This window comes from Homo sapiens, chromosome 16 (genome assembly GCF_000001405.40).
Source record: "Homo sapiens chromosome 16, GRCh38.p14 Primary Assembly".
Taxonomy (NCBI): Eukaryota; Metazoa; Chordata; class Mammalia; order Primates; family Hominidae; genus Homo; species Homo sapiens.
Window position 1 is genome coordinate 31,434,807 of NC_000016.10, and position 17,745 is coordinate 31,452,551.

Below are 17,745 nucleotides of genomic sequence, written 5' to 3' on the forward strand. Positions count from 1 at the left end.
AATACTTATCTAAAAAGCACAAGAGAGGCTGGGTGCGGTGGCTCATGCCTATAATCCCACCACTTTGGGAGGCTGAGGTGGGCGGATCACCTGAGGTCAGGAGTTCGAGACCAGCCTGGCCAGCATGGTCAAACCCCCTCTCTACTAAAAATACAAAAATTAGCTGGGCGTGGTGGTGGGCGCCTGTAATCCCAGCTACTCAGGAGGCTGAGGTAGAAGAATCGCTTGAACCCGGGAGATGGAGGTTGCAGTGAGCAGAGATCATGCCACTGCACTGCAGCCTAGGCAAAAGAGCACGATTCCGTCTCAAGAAAAAAAAAAAAGGAGAGAGAAATAATCACTAATATTAAGATAACACAATATTATTCCTGTCCACACCAAGAATATACCTTGTATATTATTGTTACTTCGATAATATACCTTGTATATTATTGTTACTTCGATAATATACCTTTGCCTACTACCTACCTAAATCCTTTTGTTATTTTAGTTATTTTAGAGAGACAGGGTCTCACTCTGTCTCTCACGCTGGGGTGCAGTGGCCTGATCATAGTTCACTGCAGCCTTGAACTCTCCAACTCAAGCGATCCTTCCGCCTCACCCTCCTGAGTAGCTGGGACTACAGGCCAGCGCCACCACACCAGCTCGTTTTATTTTTATTTCACAGAGATGCGGTCTCGCTAGGCTGCCCAGGCTAGTCTCAAATTCTTCGGGCTCACGCGATCCTCCCACCTCGGTCTCTTAAAGCGCTGGGATTACAGGTGTGAGTCACCGCCCGCAGCCGCACCTGCCTAAATCCCTTAATGTATAAGGGAAAGGAGCGAGAATTCAGGGGAAAAAAAACAAACAAAATAGCCCCCAGCACTTCTGAGAAAGATCTGCCATACAGAAAAGCCGTCCTGAGCGGGTCTGTGTGGAGGGAGGGGACTGCATCTCAGATCCACAGTCCACCGGCGGCTGCAACAATTCCACCCAGGGCTGCAGCACGCTGGTTCTTCAGTGTCGGGCCAGGTTGGACCTCCGGCTGGAGGCCTTCCACACCGGAAACACTGGTAGGGCTCCTCTCCAGTGTGGGTTCGAGGGCGGTGGAGGAGCTCGGCACTGTCGCTGAAGCCTGGCCCTGGCCTCGCCGAGCGGTCCGGCCGCTCTGTGCTGCGAGGCCTTCCGGGCTGGCTCAGGGTAGCCTGGGGCCTGAACCGCCTCCCGCGAGTCCCGTCCCGCGCTCGCACAGCTTCTGGGCCCCATCGCCCCCTCCTGCTGAGCTGCCGGCTGGGTGGCTGGCGGAACCTGGGCAACTTCCAGGCCTCCCAGAGGCACTGCAGGCACTGCGGGAAGGCCGGATGGAACCAGAGGCTGGAGACTGAGTGGGGGGCCAGGATAAAGGAAGGGAGGTCGGGGCAGGAGTGTGGATGGGGGCAGATGTTGAAGGAAGGACCCGGGGCTCCCACAGGGCCGGAGCCCAGAGGTGCTGTCCGGGGCGACTGAGCTGGGTGCGAGGCTGACGCTCTCCACGCTCCCACCCCTGCAGGTCTTCTCCCCTGGGTGCGGAAGGACGCGCTGGGAGAGGGAGGTCTTCTCATTGACACTGTCACCGCAGCTGCAGCAGCAGAAGGGACACACTCTCCTGTGTGAATTCGCTGGTGGCCGATCAGCTTCCACCGGTCCCCAAAAACCTGCTGGTACTGGGGACAGACGCAGGGCTTCGGCCAGTGTGTGCTCCTTGGTGAGCCAGCAGCAGAGCTGGCCGCTAAACCCTTGCCGCACTCCCGCAGACGAATGGCTTCTCCCGAGTGGACTCGCTGGTGCTTGATGAGGTTGGAGCGGCCACAGCAGGTCTTGCCGCACTGGGGACAGCGACAAGGTCTCTCGCCAGTCGCTGTGGACCCGCCAGTGCTGGAGGAGGGATGCGCTCTGAGTAAAACCCCTCCCGCAGGCCTTGCACTTGCAGGGCTGACGGCCCTGGGTGAATCTGCCGGTGCTGCAGCAGGTAGGAGCTCTGGCTGAAACGCTTTCCACAGTCAGGGCAAAGGGGAGGCTTCTCATGAGCAGGGCTTCGGAGATGACCGCTCAGGGAGTAACTGTACGGGAGGCTTTGCCGCACTTGGCGCAGCTGTGGGGCCTCTGCCGCACTCAGGCTTCCCGTGGCCACGAGCTCACAGTCTGGGAGCAGCACCCGGCCCCAGGCCTCGGGGGCTGTCTGGAGAGTTCTCTAATGTAAGACGCTGGGCAATGTCATCTGAAGGTGTTTCTTGAGGCTCTCGGGCATGTCCCTGGGTGTTCCCCATCACTAAGTCCATCCTCTTGGATACGCTGGTCCTCACTGCCGTGTCCAGTTCCTGCGGAAGGAAAGATTTCAGATCCCAGAGCCATCATTCTCTCTAGAGGGAGAGAAAACCACAGAAAAATTTTACTACAAACTGCAAAGGAGACTTTGCTTTCAGAATCCTGTAATCAATGCTTCTTTATTACTATTTTACTTTTTCTTTCCTTCTTTTTTTTTTTTTTTTTTTTTTTTAAGACAGGGTCTATTTCTGTTGCCCAGGCTGGAATGCAGTAGTACGATCTCTGATCACTGCAACCTTTGCCTCTCTGGCTCAAGTGATCCTCCCGCTTCAGTCTCTCAAGTAGCTGGGACTGTAGTTGCACACCACTAGGCCCAGCATTTTTTTTTTTTTTTTTGGTAGAAGCTGGTTTTTATCATGTTGCCCAAGCTGCTCTCAAACTCCTGGGCTCAAGCGGTTGGCCCACCTGGGCCACCCAAAGTGCTGGGATTGCAAGCATGAGCTACCATGCCCGGCCTCCTATAATCAATGTTTTTTTTTTTTTTTTTTTGAGAGGGAGTCTTGCTCTGTCACCCAGGCTGGAGTGCAGTGGTGCTAGCTATGTCGGCTCACTGCAACCTCTGCCACCCGGGTTCAAGCGATTCTCCTGCCTCAGCCTCCCGAGTAGCTGGGATTACAGGCGCCTGCCACCATTGCCGGCTAATTTTTTTTTGTATTTTAGTAGAGACAGGATTTCACCATGTTGGTCAGGCTGGTCTCAAACTCCTGACCTCATGATCCACCCACCTTAGCCTCCCAAAGTGCTGGGATTACAGGTGTGAGCCACTGCACATGGCCAATCAATGCTTCTTAATAGTAAGATTTATTTTAAAATTTGGATTGGGGTTATAAGACTTTCAGTAGTCTTGGATATTACCATCTTTATCCTGAATGAAAGTGTAGCAAGAGGCTGGGCGCAGTGGCTCATGCCTATAATCCTAGCACTTTGGGAGGCTGAGGCCAGAGGATCCTTGAGCCCAGGAGACTAACCTGGGCAACAAAGCAAGACCCTGTCTGTATTAAAATTACAAAAGCGTGGTAAGGATCATTTCCTCATTAACCTTGAACATCCAAACACAAACCATCAAAAAGAATCAACTTCAGAAAGACATTATTGCTTTATTGGTTAAGGTGATTAAAAGAAGGGGGCCCCTCAGGCCACAAAGATAATTAACTGATTGTCACAAACCATATTGAAACTCTTTTTTAAAAAGGGTATAGATAACTTTTAATTTACAATTTTAACAATCAAAGTAGCCAAGAGTAGAGTTTGCAATAGGACTAGAAAGTATTCCAGTGGCTCATATATAAGTGGGCTAATTTTATCTATTTTTAGGCCTATTAGGCCTGTCAGTCTGGATTTTCCATTACTTGGAAATGGGGACTGGGGAACAGATGCTTCTGGCCACTCTGAGCCCTGGCTTGATCCTTGGGTCTCATCTCTCTCTCTCTCCCCGTTTGTGCTTCACCTCTCAGCGGATACTTGGCTCTTATCTCAGGACCTGACCTCCCACTGAGCTCCAAGCCTGCAAAGCATGCTGCCACCCAGTTATTTCCCCCTTAACATCCTGCCATCACTTCAAATTTAATACCCCTATGCCAAAAAATCACTGACTCCTAATTTCACTTTTGTTGGTGGCACCAGTTTTATTCTCTTGGACACCTAAGCTCAAAAACAGTGGAACTTCTTTTGACTCATCGCTCTCCTTCCTTCCCTAGAAGTGAGCTACCATTTAAAAGTGATGTGCTCATTCTCAGCAAACTATCCCAAGGACAAAAAAATAAACACCGCATGTTCCCACTCATAGGTGGGAATTGAACAATGAGAACACATGGACACAGGAAGGGGGACATCACACACCGGGGCCTGTTGTGGGGTGGGGGGAGGGGGGAGGGATAGCATTAGCAGATATACCTAATGTAAATGACGAGTTAATGGGTGCAGCACACCAACATGGCACATGTATACATATGTAACAAACCTGCACGTTGTGCACATGTACCCTAGAACTTAAAAGTATAATGATACAAAAAAAGTGATGTGCTATCATCAGTCACCCGAGAAATGCAAATTAAAACCACAAGGAGTGCCCTTATGCACCCACTAAAATCGAGCAGACTGAAGGTGCTAACTGTTGCCTGAGGATATGGAGTCTCACACATTGCTGGGGAAATATAAAATGGCCTGGGCATTTTGGAAACCAGTTTTGGTTAACAGTAAATTAAATGTACACTTACCACATGACTCAATAATTCTACTCTTAGGATTTACTCAAGGAAAATAAAAACATATGTCCACACAAAGACTTTTTCACAAATGTGCATATCAGCTTTATTCATAATAGGCATAAGATAGAAACATCCAAATGTCCATCAATGGGTGGAAGAATAAAGTGTGGTTTACCCATGTAACAGAATACTAGCAACAAAGAGGAACTGCTGTTACCTGCAAGCAATGGATGAATCTCAAAATTATGTTAAACCAGAGAAGCCAGACACAAGAGAATACATACTATATGATTCAATTTCTGTGAAATTCCATTTCTACAAAAAGCAAAACTTACTCATAGGGGCAGAAAGTAGACCAGTGGTTCTCTGGGGCTGGGTCAGGGAGAGAGCAGCTGACTGCACGGGGCATGAGAGGGTGACGGCAAAGTTCTGCACCCTGAATGTGATGATGGTTATGCCCGTGTACACATTCACCAAAAACCAGCAACCTGTACACTTAAAGTGGGTGTGTTTTATATATAACTTATACTTCAGTAAGTGTCAGCACAGATAGGCTAAGCCTCTTCTGAGATGTAACACAGGTAGACAGGAGTATCAGTGCTGACTGGCCAACTATCTTTAAAATATTTTATTAAGCTATAAATAATACGGAGTTGAAATAGCCAGGACTTACAGTGTACTTACTACATGCCAGGTACTATTCTAAGAGTTTCCACATATTGGTTAGACCTCACAACAACTCTCCAAGATACTAACGATTACCCCATTTTATAGATGAAGAAACTGAGGCATAGAAAGTTTAAGTAATTTAGAAAAGCCATATATACGGTAAAAAAATTTTTGGCTCCAGGGAGCTTCCTCTGAACTACTATGCCACAATACTTCTCATTAGGACAATTTTGAAATAGACACACTCCTTCCTCCATAATTTCATCTCCTCTACAAAAAATATTTTCACGTTTGCATATTTTATTCAGGCTTTGCCAACATGCATATGCATTTTAACTACTCCATAATCATAGTTTAGACACAGAGCAAGAGGAAGCCATTCCAAGCAACAGACGAGTCTAATTTTGCTCTCTGAAAAATAAGCATTTTTTTAACTTATGAACATTTCTCATTCATTCACATTCTTTCATAATGATCTATTTTAATGGCTTTGTTTGAAATACCATATTATATTGTATTCATTTCCTTTATTATTGGAATAGATCATTAGTAGAGATAATGCTGTAATGAGCATCTTCATGGAATGCACAGAGCTTATTTTTTTTCCATGTGGAATCTTTTATGTAGGAATCATTCCCAGGAGCGCAGCTGCTGCCCCATATAAGAAAGGGCCTCTGGCCTCGATAAAGCAGCAGCTCTTATACCAGTATGAATGAGCTACTGTCCAATTTGCTAGTGCCTGAGACTGGTCCAGACTCCAGCCCATTCATGGTCTTGAGGGCCCTAGGAAGACCACAGCAATTCCCGCAGCTCTCCTTTGGGAGTCAGGGGGACCTGTTACCGAAATCAGTCCTTGTGCCAATTAAAAGTACCACAGGCTGCCAGAAATTTCCATCTAGTTTTCTACTATCACTCAACATTCTTCCTGTGACTATAACTCCTCTCTTACATTCCCTGTCATCAGCCTTGCCCAGGCTTTCCTAATCTCTTCCCTAGATGAGTGTGTTTTCCAGTTGGCCTTTTGTGATTTGATTCCCCTCTCTTCCAATGGATGATCTGACACAAGGGCTGTCAAGCATGCTTGTTACTGTAGGGCAGTGCTTACTGTTTTCACAGCATGGAACCCACAGAAAATGTTACAATATGAGTAACTCACAGGGATAAAGGGTTGAGATTGCTCCCTACTGAAGGTGCCCGGCCCAGTGCTTCGGGCCACCCTAGGCCCTACCTACCTTCCTCAGGGGTTAAAGCAGTGGTTCTCAGTGCTAGCTGCACATTAGGATTACCTGGGAGCTTTCAAAATTATTTTGCCTGTGCTGCACCCAGGAGTAACAACATACAGCCAAGGTTAAGAACCTTTTTAGCTAAATGGTTATCTGTTTATCCTCAGTTACCGCCACAGCTTATCCTTCTACTACAGTGCCTCCTGAGTAATGGGCACACCGTACAGTATTATTATTGATTATTATTAGTATTAGAGACAGGCTCTCCCTCTATCATCCAGGCTGGAGTGCAGTGGCACCATCATGGCTCACTGCAGCCTCGACCTCCTGGGCTCAAGCGGTCCTCCCTCAGCCTCCTGAGTAGCTGGGATCACAGGTGTGCACCACCACACCTGGCTAATTTTTTTTTTTTAAATAATTAGTGTAGACAGGATCTCATTGTTGCCTACGCTACTCTCCAACTCTTGGGCTCAAGCGATCCTCCCGCCTTGGCTTCCCGAAGTGCTGGGATTACAGACGTGAGCCGCAGCGCCCGGCAGAATACAGAAGTAATAAACTAAGGTCAAGGCCATGTACTGAGGTGTTCAAGGCTCTGAACTGCTGGACTCAATGTCACAAGATAAATTTTAACCTCACCAAACCCTCTCAGCTTAAGAGTATCTGCTAAGTTCTGAGAAAGCAAACGGGGCGTGTGAAAAGATGGGTGTTCATGCCTGTGTGTATGTGGGGTCGGTGATGCAGTTAAGGACAGAACCCAGGGGAGGACTCCGGGACGGGGGAGGCGGCTGAGATTTTAAGGCGGGCCGGGTGTGCTGCAGCCAGCACTGCCGGAGAATCGCTGGGAAACGGCTCCAGCAGGAGAATGGAGGGTGGACGGCCGGCCGCAAAGGCGGTGGAGGTGTTGGCCCGCCCCTTCCCTCCTGATAACACCGACGTGCGTGTGGGGTCCACGGAACGCCCCACCAAGCCTCGCCTGGCGCGGGGTCGAGGGGCTCGGCGGAGGCGCGTGTTCAGGTGGAGGCGGTGGGCCCGGGCTGCGGCCCTTCGCTCGATTTTATTTATTTATTTATTTATTTATTTATTTATTTTTGAGACGGAGTCTCGCTGTGTTCCCCAGGCTGGAGTGCAGTGGCGAGATCTCGGCTCATTGCAACCCCTGCCTCCCGGGTTCAAGCGATTCTCCTGCCTCAGCCTCCCGAGTAGCTGGGACCACAGGCGTCCGCCACCACGCCCGGCTAATTTTTGCATTTTTAGTAGAGAAGGGATTTCACTATATTGGCCACGCTGGTCTCGAACTCCTGACCTCGTGATCCGCCCGCCTCGGCCTCCCAAAGTGCTGGGATTACGGGCGTGAGCCACCGCGCCCGGCCCCTTCGCTCGCTCTTACCCGGTGAGGTCCCGTGCCCGCGTACCTCCCGCATGACACTTGGGCGTGCGGCCGAGCCGGGAGCGCCCCTGCCCCGCGAGCCGCCCCCGAGAGACACGGCGGATCGGAACCCAGCCGGGCGCGTAGCTCCGGGAAGGGGACGTGGCGAGGACCCGGCAGCCGCGGGGCCTGTGGGGAAACATGGTCCCCGCAAGGGACCCTGGGAGCTGGAGGCGTCCTGGCCCGGCGTCCGGAGCCCACGGCCCAGGACTAGGATGCCGGGGGTCTCGGGCGTCCTCCCTAACCTCAGTCATAGGGCGCTCCGTATCCAGCCCGCCCTGCTTGCCTCTCGCTTCCCCCAAATACTGCCCCGACCTGTCCCCTGGCCCTCACCAAGACAGGGAGAAACGACCGAGACACTGAGGACTCCGCTAACAGCTGCCTGAGACCCAACCCCTCCACTCCCTGACCAGGATGAGGGAGTCCGCGCCATGCGCATGCACACACGCGGGCCTCTCCTCCTCCCACCTTTTGCGCGTCTCGCCCGGGCATCGAAGGAAGGGAATGACGGCGCGACGGCGACCCCTAGGGGCGGGAGGAGGCGCTAGGAGCGGGGCTGGGAAGCGCCATGGTGCAGGTTGAACGGGGACATTGGGTCACCGGGATGGGTGGAATTAGGGTAGGGCGAGTGAGGCACTGGCTTCTGGCACAGAATTTAAGGAGACACCCCAAAATTTAGTAATCAGGATACACAGACTGAGCGCAGTGGCTCACGCCTGTAATCCCAACACTTTGGGAGGCCAAGGCGGGAGGACTGCTTGAGGCCAGGAGTTAGGGATCAGCCTGGGCAACAAAGCGAGACCCCCATCTCTACAAAAAAAAATTAAAATTTAGCCGGACTTGGTGGTGGGCGCCTGTGGTCCCAGCTACTCAGGATGCTTAAGTGGGAGGATCACTTGAGCCCAGGAGGTTGAAGGTGCAGTGAGCTATGGTGACACCTCTGCACTCCAGCCTGGGCAACAGAGCAAGACCATGTCTCTTAAAAAAAAAAAAAAAAAAAAAAAAAGCTAGACGCGGTGGCTCACGCCTGTAATCCCAGCACTTTGGGAGGGCAAGGGTAGTGGATCAGTTGAGGTCAGGAGTTCGAGACCAGCCTGGCCAACATGGTGAAACTAAAAATACAAAAATTATTCTACTAAAAATACAAAAATTAGCCGGGTATGGTGGTGCACACCTGTAATCCCAGCTACTTAGGAGACTGAGGCAGGAGAATCGCTTGAACCCAGGAGGCAGAGGTTGCAGTGTTGCAGAGGTTGCAGATCATGCCACTGCACTCCAGCCTGGGTGAAAGAGTGAAACCCTGTCTCAAAACAACAACAACAACAACAACAACAACAACAACAACAACAACCACCACCACCCAAAGTATATTATATGCACACCCTACTGAGTTTGATTCCTGGTTCCACCAGTTAATAGCTGTGGGAGTTTGGGCAGTTTGGTGAATCTAATCTCTGTATCTCAATTTCTTCATCTGTAACATGGCAATAATAACAGCACCTACTTACCTCATAAGGTTGCTGGGAAGATTCAAGGAGATAAGCCAAGTGAAGAGCTTAGCACAATGTCTGGCACATGGTGAGTGTTCAGTGAATGTTAGTCAGTTGGTGGCTATGGCAGCCATCTGCTGAGATAGTTCCCAGTGATCCTACTCCTGGTGTTCACACCCTTTTTAGTCCCTTCCCACAATGCACCAGGGTTGGTCTATGTGACCTGTGGAATACTATAGGAGTTTCTTTCTTTCTCTCTTTCTCTCATTCTCTTTCTTTCTTTCCTCTCTCTTTCTTTCTTTTTTTGACAGAGTCTTGCTCTATCACCCAGGCTGGAGTGCAGTGGCACGATCTCGGCTCACTGCAACCTCTGCCTCCTGGGTTCAAGTGATTCTCGTGCCTCAGCCTCCCAAGTAGCTGGGATTACACACACGGCCACCACACCTGGCTAAATTTTGTATTTTTAATAGAGATGGGGTTTTGCCATGTTGGCCAGGCTGGTCTCGAACTCCTGACCTTAGGTGATCCACCCACCTCAGCCTCCCAAAGTGCTGGGATTACATGCATGAGCCACCGTACCTGGCAAGAATTACTTATAATTAGGTTATAAAAGTCATGACAGTGAAAACCTCCCAACTTATTCTGAGGCCAGTATTACCCTACTATCAAAATCAGACAAAGACATCACAAGAAAACTAGAGACTAATATCTCTTATGAATATAGACATAAAAATCCTCAAGAAAATACCGGCAAATAAAATTCAGAAATATATAAAAAGGATAACCAGGTGGGATTTATCCCAGGAATGTACGGTTAGCTTAACTTATGAAAATAAATTAATACACTACATCAATACAATAAAGGAAAACATTATTATTTCAATTGGTGTAAAAACAGCATTTGACAAAATTCAGCACCCTTCATCATAAAAATACTCAGCAAACTAGGAATAGAAGGAAACTCAATTAACGTGATAAAGGGCATCTATGAAAAAACCCACTGCCAACATCATACTCAATGGTGAGAGAATAAAAGCTTTTCCTCTAAGATCAGAAACAAGAAAGGGATGCCCACTTTTGCCACATCTATTCAGCCTTGTACTGGAAGCTCTCACCAGTTCTTGCCTGGAAGCTCTTGCCATGAGGCAAGGAAAAATAAAAAGCAAGCAAATCAGAAAGGAAGAAGTAAAACTATCTCCATTTATAGATGAGGTGATTTTATAGAAAATCCTAAAGAATCTATGAAAAAAACTTTGTTAGAGCTAATAAACAAATTCTGCAAAGCTGTAACAACAAAATCAATACACAGAAGTCAGTTGTGTTTCTATACTCTTGATATATTCTATATTCTGGTGTAGTCTATTTTCTGCTGCTATAACCATGCCACAGATTGGGTAATTTATAAAGAAAGGAGATTTATTTGGCTCACAGTTCTGCAGTCTTAGAGGTCCAACAGCATGGCACCAGCATCAAGGGTCATCCATGGCAGAAGGTGAAAGTGCTTTGTATTAGTCTGTTTTCACACTGCTGTAAGGAACTACCTGAGACTGGGTAATTTATTTAAAAAAAAAAAAAAGAAAGAAAAAAAAAAAGAGGCCAGGCGCAGTGGCTCACGCCTGTAGTCCCAGCACTTTGGGAGGCAAGGTGGGCAGATCACTTGAGGTACGGAGTTTGAGACCAGCCTGGCCAACGGTAAAACCCTGTCTCTACAAAAAATTTAGCTGGCTATGGTGGCAGGCACCTGTAATCCCAGCTATTCAGGAGGCTGAGGCAGGATAATTGTTTGAACCTGGGAGGCAGAGGTTGCAGTGAGCTGAGACAGCGCCACTGCACTCCAGCTTCGGTGACAGATTGAAACTCGGTCTCAAAAAAAAAAAAAAAAAGTTTAATTGACTCACATGGCTGGGGAGGCCTCAGGAAACTTACAATAATGGCAGAAGGTGAAGGGGAAGCAAGGCACATCTTACATGGCAGCAGAAGAGAAAGGGAGAGCAAAGAGGAAGAGCCACACACTTATCAAACAACCAGATCTCCTGAGAATTCGATCACGAGAATAGCAAGGGGGAAGTCCGCCCCCATGATTCAGTCACCTCCCACCAGGCCATTCCCCCAACATGTGGGGATTACAATTTGAGACAAGATTTGGGTGGGGACACAGAGCCAAACCATATCAGGCATGCAATCTTGTGAGACGTGAGACACAGAGAGAAATAGCACTGAATTTATCCTTGTATCAGGAGCCTACCCCTGTGATAACTAACTCATTCCCATGATAATGGCATTAATCCACTCATGAGGACAGAACTTTCATGACTTAATCACCTCGTAAAGGCCTCATCTCTTAATATTGTTACAATGGCAATTAAATTTCAACATGAGTTGGAGGGGATGTTCAAACCATAGCACTCTCAATAAAAAATTATACAATAGGCAGGGCGAGGTAGTTCCCTCCTATAATCCCAGCACTTTGGGAAGCCAAGGTGGGCGGATTACCTGAGGCAAGGAGTTCGAGACCAGCCCAGCCAACATGGCAGAACACTGTCTCTACTAAAAATACAAAAATTAGCTGGGCATAGTGACACACACCTCTAATCCCAGCTACTCGAGAGGCTGAGGCACAAGAATCCCTTGAACCTGGGAGGCAGAGGTTGCAGTGGGTTGCGATTGTGTCTCTGCACTCCAGCCTCAGTGACAGAGGGAGACTCTGTCTCAAAAAAAAAAAAATTAAAAATTAAAAAAATATATGTATATATACAAGGTAGATATTGAATATCTGCATGCAAAAGAATGAATTTGGATCCCTATATCACAATACATATAAAAGTTAACTCAAATTGAATCATAGAACTAAAAGTTAGGACTCTTAGAATCTTTATAACTTTGAATTAAGCAATGCTTTCTTAGATATGACACCAAAAGCACAAGCAACAAAAGAAAAAAATACAGAAACTGAACACCATCAAAATTGAAACCTCTTGCGCTTCATATGACATTATTCTTTAATTTTTTTCTTTTTCTTTCCAAATACCCAGACGTCAGGGAGATTCACAGGACATTATTAAGAAAAAGAGAAGATAAAAAAGAAAAGGAGAAGATAACCCACAGAGCAGGTAAAAATCTTTGCTAATCATATATCTGGGAAGGGATTTGTACCTAGACTGTATAAAGAACTATTGCAACTCAATGATAAAAAAGACAAATAATCCAATTTAAAAATGGAATTAGGCTGGGCACGGTGGCTCACGCCTGTAATCCCAGCACTTTGGGAGGCTGAGGTGGGCGGATCACCTGAGGTCAGGAGTTTGAGAACAGTCTGGACAACATGGTGAAACCCTGTCTCTACTAAAAGTACAAAAATTAGCCAGGCATGGTGGCATGTGCCTGTAATCCCAGCTACTCGGGAGGCTGAGACAGGAGAATCACTTGAACCCGGGAGGCAGAGGTCACAGTGAGAAGAGATCACGCCACTGCACTCCAGCCTAGGCGAGAGAGCAAGACTCAGTCTCAAAAAACAAAAAAAGGAAAGAAAGAAAGAAATCAGTCGAGTGTGGTGGCCTGCACCTCTAGTCCCAGCTACTCGGAAGGCTGAGAATCACTTGAACCATGGAGGTGGAGGCTGCAGTAAGCCGAAATTGTGCCACTGCACTCCTGGGCAACAGAGGAGTCCTTGTCTCAAGAAAAAGAAAGAAAAAGAAAAAAAATTAAATGGGCAAATGACTTGAATAGACAGTTCAAAGAAGTTATATAAATGGCCAATAATTACATGAAAAGATCCTCAACATCATTAGTCCTCAGAAAAATGCAAATCAAAACTACAACGAGGTGCCACATCATACATATTAGGATGGTGATAATAAAAAAGACAGGTAATTACGCCAGTAGTGGCGGCTCATGCCTGTAATCCCATCACTTTGAGAGGCTGAGGTGGGCGAATCACCTGGGCTCAGGAGTTCGAGACCAGCCTGGTGAACATGGTGAAACCTAGTCTGTACTAAAAACACACAAAAAATTAGCCAGGCATGGTGGCGGGTGCCTGTAGTCCCAGCTACTCAGGAGGCTGAGGCAGGAGAATCACTTGAACCTGGCAGGTGAAGGCTGAAGTGAGCTGAGATCACGCCACTGCACTCCAGCCTGGGAAACAGATGGAGACTCTATCTCAAATAATAATAACATTATTATTATTTTTAAAAATAATATTTAAAAAACATTAAAATTTTTTTTTTAAATAATATTTTTAAAAATGATATTTTTTAAATGATAATATTTACAGGCAGTGGCTCACACTTGTAATCCCAGCACTTTGGGAGGCCGAGGTGGGCGGATCACCTGAGCTCAGGAGTTTGAGACCAGCCTGGCCAACTTGGTGAAACCCTGTCTCTACTAAAAATACAAACATTTGCTGGGCGTGGTGACAGGCGCCTATAATCCCAGTCACTTGGGAGGCTGAGGCAGGAGAATCACTTGAACCTGGGAGGCGTAGGTTGCAGTGAGCTGAGATCACGCCACTGCACTCCAGCCTGGTGACAGAGTGAGATTCCGACTCAAAAAAAAAAAAGCTGAAAAGACAGTTAATTAACAAGTTTTTGTGAGAATGTGGAGAGATTGGAACCCTCACACATGGCTGGTTGGAACGTAAAATCATTCATTAACTTTGGAAAATGGTCTGGCAGTTCCTCAGATGTTTAAACATAGAGTTATATGATCCAGCAATTTCCCTTCTAGATATGTAACCAAAAGAAATAAAAGCATATTCCACAAAAACCTTGTACGTGAGTATTCATAGCAGCATTATTCATAATAGCCCGAGTGGAAACAACCCAAATGTCTGTCAACTGATGATTGAAGAAAGTGGCATATCCATGTCTTAGTCTGTTTTGTGCTGCATCGTAGAATGCCTAAGGCTGGATAATTTATAAAGAATAGAAATATCTTTCTTTCAGTTCTAGAGGTTGGGAAGTCGAAGGTCAAGGGCCCTGCATCTGGTGAGGGCCTTCTTTCTGCCTCATCCCACAGCAGAAAGCGGAAGGGCAAGACAGTGCAAGAGAGGGGGTGGGTGGGGGCAGAACCCATCCATTTATCTATCAGCTGTCCACTCCCTTGATAACTAACCTACTCATGCAATAATGCCATTAATCCATTCATGAGGGAAGAGCTCACATAACCTAATCACTTCTTAAAGTTCCCACCTCTCAACAGTTGAATTGGAGGTTAAGTTTCCAACACATGAACTTTAGGGGACAGGTTCAAACCACAGCAATCCATAAAGTGAAACTGTATTATTCCTAATAAAAAGAAATGAGATACTACAGTGTGGATGAACCTTGATAACATTATGCTATATGAAAGAAGCCAGACACGAATGACCACACATTGTATGATTCCATTTATATGACATGTCCAGAATAGGTCATCTGTAGAGATAAGATGTAGATTAGTGGTTGCCTAGGGTTGGGGTATAGGGGGTGTTATGGACTGAATGTTTGTATCGCCCCCAAATTTATACATTGTTTAACCCCCAGTGTGACTGTATTTGAAGACAGGGACTGGCTGGGCATGGTGCCTCACGCCTGTAATCCCTGAACTTTGGGAGGTCAAGGCAAGCAGATCACCTGAGGTCAGGAGTTCAAGACCAGCCTGGCCAACAAGGTGAAACACCGTCTCTACTAAAAATTCCAAAAAATTAGCCAGGTGTGGTGGCAGATGTCTGTAATCTCAGCTACTTGGGAGGCTGAGGCAGGCGAATGGCTTGAACCCAGGAGATGGATGTTGCAGTGAGCCGAGACCACGCCATTGCACTGCAGCCTGGGCAAAAGCAACGAAACTCCCTCTCAAAAAAAAAAAAAAAAAAAAAAGATAGGGCCTGTGAGGAGGTGACCTTAAATAAGGTAATCAAGATGAGGGACTTCCAAGAGGAGTGCTGGCAATTAAGAGAGCTGGGGCCAGGTGGGGTGGCTCACACATGTAATCCAGCACTTTGAGAGGCCAAGGTGGGAGGATCCCTCGAGCCTAGGAGTTCGAGACCAGCCTGGGCAACATAACAAGACCTTGCCTCTATTTATAAATTCAATTTATTATTATTTTTTTTAAAAAAGGGAGAGAACTGCGAGGAAATAAAAAGAGAAAGGGCCAAGGCCAGGTGCACTGGCTCACACCTGTAATCCCAGCACTTTGGGAGGCCGAGGCAGGCGGATCACGAGGTCAGGAGATCGAGACCATCCTGGCTAACACGGTGAAACCCCGTCTCTACTAAAAATACCAACAAAACAAAACAAAACAAAACAAAACAAAAAAAAACTAGCCTGGTATGGTGGCATGCGCCTGTGGTCCCAGCTACTCAGGAGGGTAAGGCAGGAGAATCGCTTGATCCCAGGAGGTAGAAGTTGCAGTGAGCTGAGATCGCGCCACTGCTCTCCAGCCTAGGCGACAGAGCGAGATTCCATCTCAAAAAAAAAAAAAAAAAAAAAAAAGAGAGAGAGAAAAGGCCAAATATTTCAATTCTAAGGTTTGGAATTTTTTTGTTGTTGTTCTTTTTTATTTTAAGGGGAAAATGTTGAAGCAATTTAAAAGTGTACTGCAGGAGAATAAATATAGCGATATTGTTACCAAAAAAATCCAAAAACCAAAAACCCAAAACCCAAGAACAAAACCTTCCCAAGGTGCTGACAAAGCCCCGAATCTCCAGGCTGCAAACATTCTCCTGGCTGCTCATTTGTGAGGATCCAGTGACCTGTGTCCACTGCTGGGAAGCGAAGGCATCTGCTGGTGTGGTGCAGCCATGCTGGGGGCATGGCGAGGCCTGTGGATGCAGTTCTCTGCGCTCTGCCCTGTGCTCTCTCTGACGTCTTCCACATCCCCACCTCTTCACCCTCTCCGGGGCTTTCTTCTCTACCCATCTAGGGACTACAGCCCAGAAAAATGCTACCACACCACACATTGCATTTAGTTGTCACGACTCTCTAGTCCCCATTATTCCAGAGCATCACCTCAATCATTTCTTGATTCTGATTACCTTAAAACTGTTACACCTGTAGTCCCAGCACTTTGGGAGACTGAGGTGGGAGGATTGCTTGAGCCCAGGAGTTCAGGACCATCCTGGGCAACGTAGCAAGACCCGTCCCTACAAAAAAAAAAAATTAAAAATTAGCTGGGTGTGGTGGCATATGCCTGTAGTCCCAGCTACTTGGGAGGCTGACACAGGAGGATCACCTGAGCCCAGGAAGTCGAGGCTGCAGTGGGCTGTGGTCGCACCACTGCACCCCAGCCTGGGTGAGGGAGAGACCCTATCTCAAAAAACCATAAAAAGCTTTTTGTTATTGGGATGGCACTGCTCCAGGGCTTTCCAGAGCTAGGGAATATATGGACATTTACACACATCTGCGTGCACATACACATATACACACCCATACTAATTTCTATGTCTATCTAAACACTTTCTGAAAATCCTGAGTCTACTCCTATACCTCCAGTTCCAATTCGACACCACAAGGGTCTCCCCACCCACATTTTCTCCCTTTCCCGAGCTGTGTCTCGGTTTTCTCTGACACTGAGAAACCTGGCTGTTATCTTTCAAATGTGTACTTATTTGACCAATAGCTGGTGGAAGCAGTTTCTTATCTCTCTCGCCATCTCCTTCCCGTGGCTGATGCCTTCCTAATCCTATCAGGTTCTGCCATGCCAAGCCAGGCCACCTTCTCGTGTGGACACCCTCCCCCACCTGCTGGAGCTCTGATACATGCTCTGGCCTGCTGCGTCTCACTCCCCACACCCGGCAGAGGCCTCTTTGGCTCTGCCTGCCCCTAGAGGCTGTAAGACAGCATTGTTCAGGAAAGGGAGGAAAGGGAATGGGTGTAGGAAAGGAAGAGCGGATCTCCTTTGAAGAATTATCTTTAAAAAAAATTATTTTTTTAGAGACAGGGTCTCACTCTGTTGCCCAGGCTGGGGTGCAGTGGCACAATCCTAGCTCACTGCAGTCTCAAATTCCTGGGCTCAAGCGGTCCTCCTGCCTCAGCCTCCTGAATAGCTGGGACTACAGTGAACATCACCACACCTGGCTGGTTTTTTAATTTTTTCTAGAGATGGGGTTTGCTATGTTGCCCAGGCTAGTCTCGAACTCCTGGGCTCAAAGCATCCTCTCACCTCAGCCTCTCAAAGTGCTGGGATTATAGGTGTGAGCCACCGCCTTTTTTTTTTTTTCTGATTTACTATAATATTTCTAGTAAGCCATTGGCTTAGAAACCAGATTCACTAATTAATTCATTTACCCTTTCATGATACAAAATTTTTTAACTGAGTGAGGCCTTTCCTGAGAATTGAGCACATGAGCTTTGGTGCATGGACCTGGAAATCTCTGCTTCTTGAACTCCTAGGGGCTTCCTTTACTTCATTCA

General features: G+C 47.2%; 1 protein-coding gene across 2 annotated transcripts, besides 5 other annotated features; it reads right to left on the reverse strand.

The window, feature by feature from the left end:
- On the reverse strand, positions 628-8,354 carry ZNF843 (zinc finger protein 843). Of its 2 annotated transcripts, none has more exons than NM_001136509.3 (2): positions 7,830-7,983; positions 628-2,378 (listed from the first exon to the last, which is right to left on the reverse strand). In NM_001136509.3, the coding sequence occupies exon 2, from the start codon at positions 2,041-2,043 to the stop codon at positions 997-999; it is 1,047 nt and encodes a 348-aa protein (NP_001129981.1). In that variant the 5' UTR covers positions 2,044-2,378; positions 7,830-7,983; the 3' UTR covers positions 628-996. The 2 variants fall into 2 exon arrangements, with proteins under 2 accessions (NP_001129981.1, NP_001340310.1); NM_001353381.1 differs by lacking the exon at positions 7,830-7,983 and adding an exon at positions 8,337-8,354 and having other exon boundaries at positions 632-2,378.
- Positions 675-1,175: an enhancer, noted in NCBI's record as "H3K4me1 hESC enhancer chr16:31446802-31447302 (GRCh37/hg19 assembly coordinates)". NCBI's record gives its function as "activates a minimal SCP1, AML or CMV promoter by ChIP-STARR-seq in naive H9 embryonic stem cells {active_cell/tissue: H9 hESC(naive)}" and the evidence as "EXISTENCE:reporter gene assay evidence [ECO:0000049][PMID:30033119]".
- Positions 1,757-1,927: a silencer, noted in NCBI's record as "fragment chr16:31447884-31448054 (GRCh37/hg19 assembly coordinates)". NCBI's record gives its function as "represses an EF-1alpha promoter that drives an FKBP-Casp9 reporter gene in an ReSE screen in phorbol 12-myristate 13-acetate-treated (for megakaryocytic differentiation) K562 erythroleukemia cells {active_cell/tissue: K562(+PMA)}" and the evidence as "EXISTENCE:reporter gene assay evidence [ECO:0000049][PMID:32094911]".
- Positions 7,610-8,405: an enhancer, noted in NCBI's record as "H3K27ac-H3K4me1 hESC enhancer chr16:31453737-31454532 (GRCh37/hg19 assembly coordinates)". NCBI's record gives its function as "activates a minimal SCP1, AML or CMV promoter by ChIP-STARR-seq in naive H9 embryonic stem cells {active_cell/tissue: H9 hESC(naive)}" and the evidence as "EXISTENCE:reporter gene assay evidence [ECO:0000049][PMID:30033119]".
- Positions 7,790-7,999: a silencer, noted in NCBI's record as "silent region_7418". NCBI's record gives its function as "represses an Ori minimal core promoter by ATAC-STARR-seq in GM12878 lymphoblastoid cells {active_cell/tissue: GM12878}" and the evidence as "EXISTENCE:reporter gene assay evidence [ECO:0000049][PMID:35858748]".
- Positions 17,002-17,296: an enhancer, noted in NCBI's record as "tiled region #15326; K562 Activating DNase unmatched - State 8:EnhW". NCBI's record gives its function as "activates a minimal TATA promoter and a strong SV40 promoter by Sharpr-MPRA in K562 cells {active_cell/tissue: K562}" and the evidence as "EXISTENCE:reporter gene assay evidence [ECO:0000049][PMID:27701403]".

Bases quoted from the DNA above. Each gene is read 5' to 3' on its own strand.
- ZNF843 (NM_001136509.3), bottom strand. From the start codon at position 2,043: ATGAGAAGCCTCCCCTTTGCCCTGACTGTGGAAAGCGTTTCAGCCAGA.